This window comes from Homo sapiens, chromosome 5 (assembly GCF_000001405.40).
Source record: "Homo sapiens chromosome 5, GRCh38.p14 Primary Assembly".
NCBI lineage: Eukaryota > Metazoa > Chordata > Mammalia > Primates > Hominidae > Homo > Homo sapiens.
In genome coordinates, this window is record NC_000005.10 from 157,460,101 (window position 1) to 157,476,577 (window position 16,477).

Sequence of the window (16,477 nt, forward strand, 5' to 3'; positions counted from 1 at the left end):
AGCCCTGGGCCCCCTGCCCCCGGAATTGCCCAAGATGCCGGGTGACTCCTCCCCGGGGACTCTCCCACTCTGGGACGCGTCACTCTCCCCACCCCTGGGTCCGGACCCCGGCGGCTTCTCGCGCGCGAGCCACGCGGGGGACAAGTCGCGGCCACCTGCTCCGGAGCTGGGGAGCCCGGGCGCCGTCCGCCCGCGCGTCGGTTCGTGTGCCCCGGGCCCCATGGAGCTGCGGGTCAGCAACACCAGCTGCGAGAACGGTGCGTACGGCAGGGCTGGGGACCAGGCGGGCTCCGCGCTTCGCGCCCTCCCCTCCTTGCCACCGCTCTCCCTCGCATCCTCTCCTCCCAGGGGGGCCAAAGCTGGGGAGGGGCAGGGCCAGCACGAGGTGGCTCCCACCCAGCTTTGAAGATCTGGGTTCTGGCTGAGACTTCACTTTCATCTTCGCAGCTGGGATGGCTGAGAGGAGTCAGGGAAGGAAAGTATGTCCCCTGGGTTGAGATGGGGGGTTAGTGGGGGGCAGGCATTTTGACGACAGCAGACACCCTGAGAGGTGGTGGGGGCGGGGGGAGGATTCTGTGTTTTTAATGTGTAGTTGCTTCAGGTTTTAGTACCTGCGCAGTTTGGGCTTTCTCTCTGGGTCAATGGGAGGACCATCACAGGACGGTCTTGTCTTTGGAAAAGAAAAAGAACCACAGGAAGGGGTAAAGAAAGACCCCTGACTTCCTATTGCGTTCTGACCATAAAGCAGGTAGTGGACTAGGCCCTTTACCCGCATTATCTCACTGAATCCTTAAAACAACTCTAGAAGGTAGGTAGGTATTATTATTTTACTATCTTGCTATCCCCACTCTAAAGATCCAGAAACTGAGGCTCTGAGCAGCTAATAATTTGCTCAAGGTAATACAGTGAGGAAATGGAATATAGATCCAAGGCTGGTGGACAGTAAAACCTCAACTCCTTCCTTGGTGTGGCTCCACTTTCCTACCTTGTCTTGGAACTGCAGGCTGTGGCATGTCCCTGTTTCTCTAACCTCTTCCCTTCTACAGTGAAGCTTTCAAAGCCAGCCTGTTAGGTGTCTGACTTTGGTTTCCTGAACAAGGCAGGCATTTTCAGCCTCACCTTTTCTCTAGGCCAGAATGTGTTCCCCAGTCCTAGCATATTCTGGAAGAGATAACAGGAATCATCTGGCCCATGCTCAGAATTGGATTACTTTGGCCATCAGCCCTCTGTCTTTTACTTTTCACTGCAGTGGGAGAACTTGACTCAATGGAGGATGCTCAGCCCTTGGGTGTTGCGGGCTTTACTGTGACAGCCAAGTCCATCCACAGAGGGTTCGTTGGCTCCATCTGCTAGAGGTGCACCTTCAGGGAGCAGGGGAAGGGCGTGGGGATGAGTTTGGTCTTCCTCTCAGGAGTCACCTCCCCTAGCCCATGTTCTCCCAGGTTCTGGCTCATTTCCTGGGCTCAGGGAACTCCCCAGATTCAGCTCTTGGGCAAGGAAGCCTGAGCTGGAGAAACAGGAATGAGCAGTGCAGAACAAGTCTGATTAGGGACTGAGATGCCTCTTGTCTCATCTTCCCTTGATTGTGACACGAGTTTTGGAAAGAGAGATATCACACTGCAAAAGACACATGGATGTGCCCCAGTGGGTGCTGGATCCAGATCTTTCACCAGATGTTGGGGTGACTTAAGCAAGCTCTTCCCTTTCTCAGGGCCTCAGTTTCCCCAGAAAAAATAAGAATTTAGACTGCTTTCTAAGGGCTCTTCAAGCTCTGTTATTCATGGGTCTGTGTCGTGGAAGAAAGGTCAACATTGCCTTTAGTCTGTTCCACCAAGATGCCACTCTGCCCTGCAGATGTGCCAGAGCCAGAGTTGCTTGACCATGGACTTTGGGGCCCTTCCAGGCACTGCCTGGGAGTTCTAGGTTGGTGGGAGAAATACTTGGTTGAGGCTTACATCCTTGGCATAGGGACCTGGGCCTTGGTGACACACAGCTTGAAAAAGGCTACCTCCAGAGGTAACAAACTCAGATGCCTACAAAGGCCAAGCACGTGCTAGAAATTACTGAAAGGAGCCAGATAAGACTCTTGGGGAACTGCAGAGAGTATGTCCTATTTTAGGGGGCAACACTGCCCAGCTGCAGCCAGTTGTTGCCTTAGAAGAGGGCCCAATATGGTAAGCAGATCTGATTTTTCACCGTAGCCTCCCATCTGAATTTTCATGGAAAATCTCCCAATTTTTAAATGTTTTCTATTTTAAAATACCTCTTAGGGCCAGGCACGGTGGCTCACGTCTGTAATCTTAGTGCTTTGGGAGGCTGAGGCAGGAGGATAGCTTGAGGCTAGGAGTTCAGACCACCCTCTGCAACATAGCAAGACCCCCATCTCTACACAAAAAAACAAAAACAAAAACAAACAAAAAGCCTCTTAGGAGGCCAGATGCTACCTGCTTTATTGAGGTGTGTGTGATGGTTAAGAGCCTGGGCTTTGGCATCAGATAAGCTTAGAATCTGACACTGGCTTCACTATTCAGTACCCATGTTTTGGCTTTGGGCAGGTTACTAAACTTATCAGAGCTTTGGTTTCTTCAACTAAAAGCCTATAAAAGATTGTTGTGCCTGCTTCCAAGTGGTCATTAGAAACCCTCCTGGAAAACCCCAGAGCAGAGGACCATGTGAGTAGTAGCACTGAAGAATTATTGGCTATTCTTTGCAGTTTCATTGAACTTATGTACTTCTTCTGACTGAGGGTCTGCCCTTGTGCCCAGGTTTGTTATCTGGCACGTGGTGGTACAAATTTGTTGTGGTCATGCAAAGAAAGCCCCTAACTAGCGTAAGCACTCACTGAACATAATTATTTTTAGGTGGAGGCACGGTATATGGGTATAGCCCTGCAGTAGCGGAAGCACAGGGTTTGAAACAGTGGCCAATTCCAATATTTTAAAAGTGTGCAATTGTCCCCAGTGTGACTCTCTCACTGTGGTCTTCCCATCCAGGTTCCCTGCTCCACCTCTACTGCTCCTCCCAAGAAGTCCTGTGCCAGATTGTCAATGACCTCAGCCCTGAGGTGCCCAGCAATGCCACCTTTCACAGCTGGCAGGAAAGAATCAGGCAGAACTATGGCTTCTACATCGGCCTGGGCCTGGCATTCCTGTCTAGCTTCCTCATCGGCAGCAGCGTCATCCTCAAGAAGAAAGGCCTCTTGCGACTCGTGGCCACGGGAGCCACTCGAGCTGGTAGGTTCCTGGGCCAGGAGAGGATAGGGCCCAGGGCAGCTGAGCTCTCACAAGGTCCGGGGCTGTAGTCTAAGAGGATGGCCTCAGCAAGGTACAAAAGGCTCATTGTCAACCCTATCTGGAATCCCACCTGCCAACAGGGTTAGGGTTTAGGGTTATAAAGGAAGGCCTCCAATAGGAGGTCTCAGTTTAGAGAGCAAACAGGATGCCTTCCTTTAGAATCCAATCTTTCCTGAGACCTTCATGATGTGTTTATTAGAGGAGGGAAGGGACAAGTCTCAGGACCAAGAATCAGATATGCATGTCTGGTCTTGGTCTTACTTCCCACCAACGTCATCACAGGCAAGTCACAGCTTCTCTGCAAAATGGGAATAGATACTTCTGCTCAGAACAATGTCAGACGCTGGTGTGCCCTCACTTAGCATCCAATTGAGCTCCCTTCTGGGCTGCCAAAAAATGGTGAACTGTCTGACCCCAAGGGATTTGCTTGTTTGGAAAATAAGATGTTTTTCCGTGAAACAGTGCTTGAGAAAAGGAATCCTGTGCAAAATGACTCATTCATTTAATCACCATTTATCACATGCCTGCTGTATGCCAGGGACAATGCTAGACATGGGGATTCAGTGTCCTCGTGGAACCTTCAGTCAAGTGGAAGAGACAGATGAGTCAATAGGCAGTTGTTTTATCATGTGTTAAGTGCCATCATGGGGAAAACACAGCCTGCTATGGGGGAATATTTTGGAGGGGTGTGTAAAGCCCAGACTTGGGGGATTAGGGGAGGTTTCTCTAGAAGAGATGATCTCTAAACTGAGACCTAGATTATGAGGAGACAGCAAGGTAAAAGGGGAAATAGGGAGACAGTGTTCCAGGCAGAAGGAATAACACGTGCAAAGGCTCAGAGGTGAGAGAACTTGAGTGATACTAGAAATCGAAAGTCATTCAGAATGGCAGGAGCAGGAGGGGTGCATGGTGAGTGAAGGGCCAGCTCATGAAGGGTCTTGTAAATGGAAGTACAGAGGCTGAGTGCAATTGTTAAGTGACTGAAAGGTTTTAGGAAGGCGAGTGACACAGTCTAATTTGCAATTTGAAAAGATCCCTGGTTGCTGGGTGAAGAACGGATTAGGGGACAAGCCTGGAGCCTGGGAAACCAAGTAGGTGAGTGAAAGGACAGAACTTGAGCCCGGGAGACGGAAATGGGAATGGAGACAACTGGTGGATTCCAAAGCTAGTTTTTGAAGGTAGAATTTACCAGCTTTGATACAGACCGGCTTCAAGCAAGGGAGGAGGGGCGGGGGAAGGAGTCAAGGATGACTCATGCTTTTGACTTGAGCAACTGGGGTGATGAAAGTGCTATTTCTTGAGATGAAGAGTGTAGAAGGAGGGACAGGTTTATGGGAAGATGATGCATTCAAGTTTGGACACGTTCAATTTAATGTTTTTGTGGGATATTGCACTTAGGAAGCAGACTATTAGGGTTCTAATTCTGGCTCCTCAATTCCTGGTGATTCAATTCTGGGCAAGAAAAGTATCTATTTCTATGCCTCAGTCTTCTCATCTATAAAATGGAGATAAGAATAGTACCAGCCTAAAGGGTTATAAGAAAATGCAACATAGTTAGAATCATACCTAGCACAGAGTAGCACTAGTATTGGTATTACTGTTATCTCAGTGAAAGGTTCCCACAGTTAGAGGTACTAGTGCACAGACTAGCACTAGTATTGGTATTACTGTTATCTCAGTGGGAGGTTCCCACAGTTAGAGGTACAGGTCTAGAGCCCATGTGTGCTGCAAAATGAATAGCTGTGAGGTGCAGAGATGAAGTCAGGAACAATGGTCATTGCCATTCCACCCTTCACTTCTAGACAAGTGTTGGAAAGGCCAGAGACCTTCCAGAGTGCCAGGGAAATTTCTGCTTGTGTTCAGAGAAGGTATCATTGACCATTCAGAAAGACAACTTCCCTGGAATCCATTTTTTTCTCCAATCTACTATTTCAGTATCTTCTGTGATTTCAACCCTTAGAGTAAAATGTTCTCAGAGTTCTTAACATTTATGGGAAATTCTGACCTTTTTAGGAACCTAATGAAAATAGGACACCTCTTCCTTAGAAAAGTGGGCATTCCCAAAAGCAACATAAATTTTTGGATTTTTATGAAACTGTCTCAAACCCATCTATCATCATCCATTATTATCATCATCGTTGTTGCTAATGTTACTGAGTATTGACTACGTGCCAGGTCCTGAACAAAGCAGACACAATTCCTGGCTTTGTGGAGCTTCCATTTTACTGGGGGAAATGTCATAAAATAAGAAGATCAACTAAAATTAAGAACAACAATGCCATGAAAGAGAAGAGCTGGGTGTTATGAGAGAACCCCAGCTGGGCACAGTCACTCACACCTGTAATCCCAGCACTTTGGGAGGCTGAGGTGTCAGGATCACTTGAGTCCGGGAGTTTGAGACCAGCCTGGGAAACATAGCAAGACCCCCATCTGTACAGAAAATTTTTTTCAATTAGCCAGGCATGGTGGCATATGACTAGTCCCAGCTACTCAGGAGGCTGAGGTGGGAGGATCCCTTGAGCCCAGGAGTTTGAGGCTTCATTGAGCTATGATCATGCCACTGCACATTCCAGCCTGGGTGACCGAGGGAGACCCTGCAGTGGAGGAGGGAGGGAAGGAAAAAGGTAAGGAAGAAAGGAGGGAGGAGGGAGGGAAGGAAGAGAGAGAGAAAGGAAGGAAGGAAAGGATGGTGGGAGGGAGGGAGAGAAGGAACTCCAACAGGAAATAATAGAAATCAGGGAGTCAGGGATGGCATCGTAGGGGAAGCAACATTCACACAGCAACCTGTAGAGTGAGTGTAAGTTTAGGCAAATAATAGAGTATTCTGGACACAGGGAAAGCATGTGCAAAGGCCTCGAGGCAGAAAAGAGCTCATCGTTTTTGGAGAGCTAAGAGAGAGGAGAAGAGTGGCAGGAGATGCACTTGGACAGGTGAGCAGGGCCAAAAGTATGCATGCTCTTGTTAAGGATTCTGGTCTTTATCCTGAGAGCACTCAGAAGCCATTGCCAGCCATAAGTTGCGGAGTGACATAATCTGATTTGCATTCTTAAAAGACGACTGGCTGCCATGAAAAGAAAAATAGGTTATTAAAGGGCCAAGAGTGGAACCAGAGTAACTATGAAGGAGGCTGTTGCCTCAACCTGAAGCAGGGATAACAGTGCCTTCGTGTAGCAGGTGGCAGCGGAGTGGACACATGCGAGATCTTTTTGGAGACAGAGTTATCAGGATGGACTGGATGCAGAAGGAGGGAGAGAAGAGTCAAAGAGCAATTCCCTGGTTTCTGGCTTAAGCAACTGGATAAATGAGAGTGCCACTTACTATGTTTCATTTGGCAGGTGGGTGGGGAACATTTAAAACCAAGAGCTCCATTTAGGACAGAAATTGAGATGCCTGTGAGGAATCCAAGAGGAGATGTGAAGTAAGCAGTTGGATATACACCTGGACTCAGAAGGAAGGTCCAGGCTACAGATATAGAGGCATCAGATATAGATGGTATTTAAAACTTTAGGAACAAATGAACCCACCCAGGAGAAGGCCCAGAACCAAGCCTCAAGGAGCAGCCCTTAGAGGCCGGGGAGTGAGCAGAGAGTTAGGAAAGGTACCTGAGAAAGTGTGGCCAAGTTCCATCCTAACTTTGTGTCCATTCCCTCCACAGTGGATGGAGGCTTCGGCTACCTGAAAGATGCAATGTGGTGGGCTGGATTTCTCACCAGTAAGTGGGTTGTTTGTTACTAATAACAGTGGCCTATTGATAGCAGGGCTGGAGACAAAGGGAGGGGTGGGTAGGGCATTTTTGTCTCTAGTATGGCAAGTGTGAATCTGAGGCCCAGATTCCCAGGGGAAAACCTTGACAACCTTTACAGGGAGAACATCTTACCATCAAAGTCAGTCTTCATCCATGAAGCGTCTACTCCCAGAGAGGTTTGCACAGAGCTGGCAACCATGAAGGTGTATTTTCTCAACTTGCCTTTAAACATAGCTCGATAATATCACTGCCTGTTGGTAGTGGACTCTTGACTTCTACATGGTAGAAGCTGGAACTCCTAGGCCAACTTCCCCCAGTCCGCAGGCAGTTAATGTGTTGGCCCACTTAGAACATAGCTGGTCCGTTACTTAAAGTTTGCCCAAATTTGCATACTCACACATTTCCCCCACTTTCCACCCACCCTCTCCTGCTATCAAACCCTGACTCTTTTAGGTGGAAAATTAACCAGGTTTCCATTCATAATCCCCTATGTCAAGTTTTGATCCTCGTCTCAGCCAGAGCTATCCCAGTGACCATCTGCTTTTAAAGGGGAGACCCAGGTGGTTCTCTATCAGCAGAGAGATGGAAAAAGACACTTTTCTGATAACCACACACAGCTATCACATATTGAGGGTTTACTGTCTGCTAAACTTTCTAAGTGTTATCCTGTGTATTAACTCAGGAGTTTACAAACTGGAAACTCAGATAGAGAGAAAGAACTTAGGCCCCTTGGGAATGTCAGATTTTTCTTTTCCTGCTAATTAATTAATTAATTTATTTATTGAGACGGAGTTTCACTCTTGTTGCCCAGGCTGGAGTGCAATGGTGCAATCTCAGCTCACAGCAACCTCTGCTTCCCGGGTTCAAGTGATTCTCCTACCTCGGCCTCCCGAGTAGCTGGGATTACAGGCATGCACCACCACGCCTGGCTAATTTTTTTTTTTTTTTGTATTTTTAGTAGAGACGGGGTTTCTCCGTGTTGGTCAGGCTGGTCTCGAACTCCCGACCTCAGGTGATACACCTGCCTCGGCCTCCCAAAGTGCTGGGATTACAGGTGTGAGGCAACGCGCCCAGCCAGAAATGTCAGATTTTTCTAACCACCTGCCTCTTAGTCCAGACTGTTGAAAATTCCCCTGGAAAAGAGGGGAAAAGTGGGGTCCATGGACCAATTGGTACCTGGAGAACCAATAATTGTAACTGTTTCTTCCTTTGATAATTAACACTTCCTAGAATTTAAATTAAAAATCTAGTCCAAAATACTGGCAGTCCCTGAGACAAATTTAACTGTGCCTGTCAGACTAGAAGCCAAGAGGCCTAAAGAACAAGAGGGCTTCTACACCATAAGCATGTCACGTGACCTTGGGCTTGGGGCCTTAGCTTCACCATCTTTAAAGTGGAAGGATCTGATCTGGACAGACTGGGACTGACCTTCGATCAGACTCTCCAGGGAGAGAGCGTATGGATCAAGATTTTAAGGAATGCTGGTCTGGGATTCTCCAGCTTGTTGCACACGGAATTATTCGTCTGGAATGGAGATGGTGCTTCTGCGCCATGCTAGCCTCTTTTCTCCCTTCGTTTCCTAGTGGCTGCTGGAGAAGTTGCCAACTTTGGAGCCTACGCATTTGCACCTGCAACAGTCGTCACGCCTCTGGGAGCGCTGAGTGTCCTCATAAGGTTATTGTCCCCTCTCTAGCTCTCTCTTTTTCTATTCCGTTTTCAGTTTGTTGAGGCCTGGAATTGCCAAGTGGGATCGACTGCCACTTGGCAATCAGGGACCTGGGTTGGTCTCAGCCTCCAGAAAGAGGCAGTGTGCTGTCCAGAGCTATAGACCCTGGGAATGTTTGCTGCCTCTTGCCCTAGCATCCCCTTGACTGGGTAATAGAGAGGCAGGCCAAGCCCAAAGCAGTTGGAAGGGCTTCCACCGTCACCAGGGTGAACGGCGCATGTCACTATTTTGGTGCCGTGATAGATGCAGCATACAAGTTAAGAGCATGTGCTCCGGATTAATGCTGCCTGAGTTCTAATCCTCGCTCTGCCACTTAGTAGTCACGTTACCATAGGCAAGTCATTTAAGCCACTTAGTCACTCGAAGCCTCATTTTTCCCATCTGCAAAATGGGGATGCCAATAATACCCACTGGGGGGCATTGTTCTGAGGATTTAATGAGATAATGCACAGAAAATGCACAGTACAGAGCTGGGACCAAACAATAACCACAGCTATCACATAGTAGGGGCTTAGTATGTGCTGAACATTCTGAATGTATCATGCATATTAACTCATTTAATTTTCACAGCATCCCTAGCTGAGCCCAACAGAGGTTAAGCAACTTGGCCAAAGTTACCAGCTTCTAAGAGGCCAGGCCAGGATTCTAACCCAGGCAGTCTTAATTCCAGAGTCAGTGGGCTTAATTGCTATGCCACATTGCCTCTCAAGTAAACACTCAACAAATGTTTGATAGTTTTAAAAATAATTGATACTAAATGTCTGTGCTTCCCACTGCCCCTAGTCCCCCTGAGCTACAAACACAGAGCCAGCTCCTCTGTGGGGGTCCTGGAGCCCTATTTGAAGGAGACTCTGATTGTTGGCGTAACCTTGGAACGCCGGTAAATTGTAGCAGACCACACCCAGTACCCATCATTTGTTTTACCATCTTGATGAAAATTTTGCAACATTTACACACTCAAAAAACAAATAGAACTCATGCTGTACAACTCGCCTGATTCATGCTGTATAACTGGCCTAACACAGCTGATGTAGCTGTGGTACCATAATTGCATATCTGATTAGTTTGCAAATTCCTACCCGGGGGAAGTTGGGAGAGCCATAAAATCCTCCAGTGTGTGGCCCCTGCCTGCATGAATAATCTCTTGAATGGGACATTGCGGCCAAAATATTTTTGGTAGTTTCAGAGGAAAGACGGAAGACAGACAAGAGAGCTTAGATATCAATCTCCTCTCTCCTGACAACTTGAACCAGGATTTTTAAGGCTAAAAATAGCCAATGTCCTGAGATAGCCAATAGGTTTTTACCCTAAACTAAGCCACCTTCATGAAGAGACAGAAGCATGCCCCCGTGATTATACGAGGCTTGCCTGTGATTTTTTTTCCCTTCCTCTCTTGCTTCTGCTGGCTCGCCTCGAGGATATGAGGGGAATAGAAATCATGTCACCACGGTGCAGCAAGGAACTGGAGATAATTTGCCCAGAAATTGAAGACTCAGGGAAGTCACAAGGATCCTCTTCAACGAGGCATAGAAGAAAACCCATGAGCTTTATAATTAGAAAGGACTCGAGCTCAATTCCTGGTTCCACTACTTGCTAGTCATTTGACCTTGCCAAGTCATTTTAACTTCTTTGAGATTCAGTCTTCTCATTTATCAACTGGAGATAGTATATTTCACTTTGCAAAGAGTTATGAGATGCTAGTGTGATAGACGGGAAGTTCCTAGCACCATACATAGTAGGTAATAAATGCCTAAGACATGGTACCTGTGATTGTCACTGAGGTTGTTTACACTGGCTTATACAAATGAAATAATAGGTGTGTTATGAATGACCCGAGGAGCAGAGATAGAGCAAAAAATAGAAATTACCAGAAGGCATATTTTTGGTAAATGATTAGAGCAAACCTACAATGGCCTCATTTGGCTTGTGAAGGGGTGGGCTCCCTGCCACCAGAGGTATCTATAAGCCAAAGCTGAGAGCCATCTGTTGGCAGTGCTAAGAGAGGATGTGTCCATTGGGAAGGCAGTTAGACAAGAGCATTTTGAAGTGTTCTTCCAACTCTTCTGTTTGGGAATACTTTCAGTCTCTAAAATGGAAGAAATTCACCTGCATTTCTATTCCTCCAGCAAATATTGTAACACTCCCAGAAATGAGTTTCTATATCAAACATTTTTTGGCCCCAGCTCAGGAGGACTGGGGGCAGTGGGAAGCACAGATATTTCGTATGAACTGTTTTTAAAACTATCAGACATTTGATGAGGGTTTATTTCAGTGGCAATGTGGCATAGCAGTTAAGCCCCCTGACTCTGGAATTAGACTGCCTGGGTTAGAATTCCAGCCTGGCCTCTTAGAACCTGGTGACCCTGGCCAAGTTGCTTAACCTCTCTTGGCCTCAGCTAGGGATGCTGTGAGGATTAAATGAGTTAATATGCGGGATACATTCAGAATGTTCAGCACATACTAAGCCCTCCATATGTGACAGCTGTGTTTATTCTTCAGTACCAGCTCTGTACTGTGCATTTTCTGTGCATTATCTCATTTAGTTCCTGAGAACAATGTCTCCCGTGGATATTATTAGCATCCCCATTTTGCAGATGGGGACAATGAGGCTTAGGGAGGTCACATGATTTGCCCATGGTAACGTAAGTTTTTTTGGAAGAAAACCTTCCACGTGAGAAACTAGTGAGTTCTGATCTGTTGTTCTCTGTGAGTGCTTGCTCAGGCCCCATTTTCTTTGGGACTCTGGGACAGGCATGGCTGCTCTAATCCCCTTCTCCCATTTCCACGTGCAGTGCCATCCTCTCCTCATATTTCCTGAGGGAGAGTCTGAACCTGCTGGGGAAGCTGGGCTGTGTGATCTGTGTGGCCGGAAGCACAGTGATGGTGATACATGCTCCTGAGGAAGAGAAGGTCACTACCATCATGGAGATGGCTTCCAAGATGAAAGACACAGGTAGACTCCAAGCCCCTGAAGAGCAGGAAAATACTGGAGGTTGAACACCCCCTACTACCCCACAAAAGGTCAGGTTGGGTTCTGACCACCTCAGGTGCTGCCACCTAGAGGAGAAGGCAAGCTAAAGAAGAAATGTTAATGGGCTGGTACTTGTTAGCAAGGCTAGCTTAAAGGCTTCCTGGCCTGATATGTATGGGTACCATTAATAAGTGTTTATTATGTGCCAGGCACTGTTATGAATGCTTTATATACATTATCTCACTGAATCCCACAGAACAGCTTTATGAGGATGATCCTATTGTTGGTCCTCTTTTACAAATGGGGAAACTGAGTTTTTGGGGGTTTAAAAACCTAACCAAGTTATTAGGAAGTCATGAAGCTGGGACTGGAACCCGGGTTTGTCTGACTCTAGAGCCCACGATCTTAATGCTACCTCCCACTGCCATGAGTCTGGGCCCTAGACATTGCCTGCACCCTCCACAGCCAAGTGATCCTTCTCTCTCTCCTCCCAAAGGGTTCATCGTGTTTGCTGTGCTTCTGCTGGTGTCATGCCTCATCCTCATCTTTGTCATTGCCCCACGTTACGGGCAAAGGAATATCCTCATCTACATCATCATCTGCTCTGTGATCGGGGCCTTCTCTGTGGCTGCTGTCAAGGGGCTGGGCATCACCATCAAGAACTTCTTCCAGGGGCTGCCAGTTGTCCGGCACCCGCTCCCCTACATCCTGTCCCTCATCCTGGCACTGTCCCTCAGCACTCAGGTCAACTTCCTCAACAGAGCACTGGACATTTTCAACACTTCCCTGGTGTTCCCCATCTACTACGTGTTCTTCACCACGGTGGTCGTTACCTCGTCCATCATCCTCTTCAAGGAGTGGTACAGCATGTCTGCTGTGGACATTGCAGGCACCCTCTCGGGCTTTGTCACCATCATCTTGGGCGTGTTCATGCTGCATGCTTTCAAAGACCTGGACATCAGCTGCGCCAGCTTGCCCCACATGCACAAAAACCCACCCCCTTCTCCCGCCCCGGAACCCACTGTTATTAGACTGGAAGACAAGAACGTCCTTGTGGACAATATAGAACTTGCCAGCACCTCATCACCAGAAGAGAAACCCAAAGTATTTATAATCCATTCCTGAAGCTTGGAATATGTGAGTGAGAGGATGAGTCCGATGGTACAGCCTGCCCTCCCAATTTCAAAACCACCTGGTTATTTTCCAGTGCAACTGTTACCAATGGGCTCTCTTTTCTTGAGAAGTTCATTTATACCTCATCACTGTTTCCAGGAGAAAAATCTTTACCCAAATAGCAATGGTGGCAGAACTTCCTGGAAACAGATTCAGTGACCAAATACCCAAGTTTACATCAGTGCCTGCAGGTTCCCTGGACCTTCCTTCTCATTCATTCTTTCGGTGCCATCTCTATGCCGTTGGGAAGAAGATGGAGTCTGACCCACTGAATGTAGCACAGTCCAAGGACTTCTCTAAGATATTGGTCATTGGAAGTTCCTTCACACCAATTCTCCTCCTGAGACGGAATCTCCGTTGTTGTTGTTGTTGTTGTTTTCTAGCCCAAGGATGACATAGAGCTGGCTCCCAGAGGCCCACAGAGCAATTGGCCATGCCTCCCTATCCAGAGCTGACAGGGACACAACCAGTGTAAAATATCCTGTTGCCTTTGTCACTTCCTCTTTGGAGGCAGAAGCAAGACCTCAGCTGACCTTCTTACTGTGAAAGCCACTTGATGTCTCAGGGAAAAATTTCAACCAGCTCATTCCCCGAGCACTCCAGCCTGGCAGTCAGCACCTCGGCATCCACCCAGTCCATCCCACCATCACCCCTTCCCCCTCTACTTACATCCTAAGGAGTCGGTCACTGAGACATAAAGGCAGTAATCGCAGAACTGGAAACAAAACAATAATAGAGCCACAGCCAAACTCTGGTGGCCAAACCCAGTGTTGCATTTTGTCTTACTCTGAAAGAAGAACAGCAAATTCACTGCTTCAAAGTGGCCTGGCTGCCAAGCTAGAATTTGGCAGAACGCACTTTACTATTCCTCAAGGAGTCAACCAACCTATGATCTGGGGAGGTGGGAAGAGGATGAGGAGCAAAGTTGGGATTTGGCAGAAGGCAGTCCCAGGCTCTCTGGATACTAGGGGCTAACTTTTGTGTTGACTCTGGTGCTCATCTGGGAACTTAGGAGAAACGAGCTCAGGGGTAATTTCTGGGTTGCAGCCTTAAAGGCTTGGACAGCTGTGAATCTCAATGGCCAACTGGAGGTGCAGACTTGGCATGGGGTGCATTCTAGCTGTTGACCAGATTGCTACCGAGTCCCCTCCTCCACTGATGAGCTGCCCACACTGGGAAGCAGCATGCCCTGACTGTTCCAACACCACCTGCTATGGGGAGTACCTTTGGTCCCCTCACATTTGGCCAGAGGCATACAAAAAACCAGAGCAGCTGGAGAGGGAGATAATTACTATTCCTTCCCTTCCTATCTCCTTTCTAGCCACAAGAGTGTGGGGGTTGGAGAAGAACCATTAGAAAGGGAAATTAGTGGGCTGGTGTATCTGGAAAGAGGGAAGACTTGATCCTCAGCCCCGAGGTTGGTGCAGGGCCTCCCCTGTGTGACTCTACCTGCACTCTGTGTTTATATCCTGTGCCCTAAGTGGGCCAAGCCCAGGTAAATTCCTGCTGGCCTTGGAACTCCAAGGTTTGGCTGACCAGCAGACTGGCTCCCTGACTCTTCAGCCTCAAATCCCCAGTTTTTGATGAATGTGGATTTCTGTCTGTAATTAAAAGCAATGCAACAAGTTGGCTCTTGAGAATGGCAGTAAACTGAGGGCCCTAAGAGTGTGGTCTGCAGGGTCAAGAATAAAGATTACAGATTATATTTACTTGATACTTGTGTCTTGACCTTCCTTGAGCATGGAGTGATTAAACTGGTTTTTCTAGGGCTGGAAGGACAGTCTCCAATCTCTGAATGAATGCGACTGCCAATAAAGCCCCTACCGTGTCTGTGGTAGTTAACACCCTTGGTAGAGTGGGAAAGATAGTTTCAGAAATAGAGTCAGTTGAAGACAACTCATCCCTAGTTAACACCTGAGCCCTTACCAGGCACCAGGCATAGTAGGTGCTTCCTGTGAATTCTCTTTAACTCCTCACAAATCCTCAAGTTAGATACGTTTTTATTCCCATTTATATAATTGCCCAAGGTCACCCAGCCAGGAAGAGCAAAGCTGATATCTGGTTTAACCACCAGGCGTAATGTGTCTCTCCAAGACTAACCTTGCCCCCAGTTGCATAATCTGTTTTGGTTTTTTGTGTTTTGAGACAGGGTCTGGCTCTGTCCCCCAGGCTGGAGGGCAGTGGTGTGATCCTAGCTCACTACAGCTTCAAACTCCCAGGCTCAGATTTGGTAAAAATGAGGCCTTGCTATGTTACCCAGGCTGGTCTCAAAACTCCTTTCCTAAAGTGATCTTCCCACCTTGGCCTCCCAAAATGCTGAGATTTTAGGCCTGAGCCACTGTGCCTTGTGCATAATCTGCTACTACTTTATTCATTTATTTTCTTGTGATCTGTGCTCTTTCCCCATCTGGATATAAGCTTCATGAGAGTTGGCTTTGATTTACTGCTTATCCTCAGTGCCTAGCACATCATACGCACTAAAAGAATAAAAGAAAAAGAAAAGATTGAAGGAACAATATCACAGTCCTTCCTTGCCCAAACTCTCCTGGGGACCAGCACTCAATGCAAGGCAGATCCTAATAGAACTCTGCATGTTAAGCAAAGCAACTGTAAACTGATGTAGTCAGCAGTTTCTCAGCACATAGCCTGCGACAGGCCCTGTTGGGGACTTGCACATACAGAATTTCATTGATGATCACGACACTTTTGAGGCAGGTATATTATTTGTATAGTGAAGAGACTCAGAAATCTGGAACTTATCCAGGCCCACTTATCTATTGAGTAGCAAGCAGAGTGAGGACTTCAACCAGGGTCTGCCCAACCAGGCTTTCTCCATTATGCTAGTGACCAACACGTGAGCATCACCCCAGAGACTGGCTGACAGCAGGGGAAGAGTGGCCTCTTAACCAGGTAGGGATGTGTGAGTGGGAAGCAATTTCATGAGCAGGCATGTTAGTAGTGAAAGCATTTGTGTTTAGATGTCTTTAGGGTCCATAGGCAACCTCATAACCATGAGAGGTTAGAAAAATATAATCAGGCTGGGTGCGGTGGCTCACGCCTGTAATCCCAACACTTCAGGAGGCTGAGGCGAATGGATCACTTGAGGTCATCTCTACTAAAAATACAAAAATTAGGCGTGGTGGTGGGCACCTGTAATCCCAGCTACTCAGGAGGCTGAGGCATGAGAATTGCTTGAGCCCGGGAGGCGGAGGTTGCAGTGAGCTGAGATTGCACCACTGCACCCCAGCCTGGGTGACAGAGAGAGACTCCGTCTTAAAAAAAAAAAAAAAAAGTAAAATCAGAGAGCAAGAAGCCTCTCTCAGGGTTTTTGTGAAGATTAAACGAGATAATCCTTATTTGTAAACAGCATGCAGTGAGTGGCTCACGTATGTTAAATACAGCTGTTCCTTGGTATCTGCAGGGGATTGGTTCCAGGACCCCCATGGATAACAAAATCTAAGGATGGCCAAGTCCCTTATATAAAATGGTATAGTATTTGCATATAACCTACATATATCCTCCCATATACTTTAAATCATCTCCAGATTTCTATAATACCTAATACAATG

The 16,477-nt window shown here is 47.4% G+C and overlaps 1 protein-coding gene across 3 annotated transcripts, besides 1 other annotated feature; it reads left to right on the plus strand.

Annotated features, from left to right (window-relative positions):
* Window positions 7–166: a silencer, noted in NCBI's record as "silent region_16559". NCBI's record gives its function as "represses an Ori minimal core promoter by ATAC-STARR-seq in GM12878 lymphoblastoid cells {active_cell/tissue: GM12878}" and the evidence as "EXISTENCE:reporter gene assay evidence [ECO:0000049][PMID:35858748]".
* Window positions 113–14,622, plus strand: NIPAL4 (NIPA like domain containing 4). 3 transcript variants are annotated; one of them, NM_001099287.2, is made up of 6 exons: window positions 113–257; window positions 2,994–3,233; window positions 6,949–7,005; window positions 8,622–8,712; window positions 11,557–11,717; window positions 12,232–14,622. In NM_001099287.2, exons 1-6 carry the CDS (start codon window positions 221–223, stop codon window positions 12,858–12,860), a joined length of 1,215 nt encoding a protein of 404 aa, NP_001092757.2. In that variant the 5' UTR covers window positions 113–220; the 3' UTR covers window positions 12,861–14,622. The 3 variants fall into 3 exon arrangements, with proteins under 3 accessions (NP_001092757.2, NP_001165763.2, XP_011532854.1); XM_011534552.2 differs by lacking the exon at window positions 113–257 and adding an exon at window positions 400–479; NM_001172292.2 differs by lacking the exon at window positions 6,949–7,005.

Bases quoted from the DNA above. Each gene is read 5' to 3' on its own strand.
- NIPAL4 (NM_001099287.2), top strand. From the start codon at position 221: ATGGAGCTGCGGGTCAGCAACACCAGCTGCGAGAACG. The intron at 8,713-11,556 runs GTTATTGTCCCC...TTCCACGTGCAG, and splicing joins GCGCTGAGTGTCCTCATAAG to TGCCATCCTCTCCTCATATT. The intron at 11,718-12,231 runs GTAGACTCCAAG...CTCCTCCCAAAG, and splicing joins TTCCAAGATGAAAGACACAG to GGTTCATCGTGTTTGCTGTG.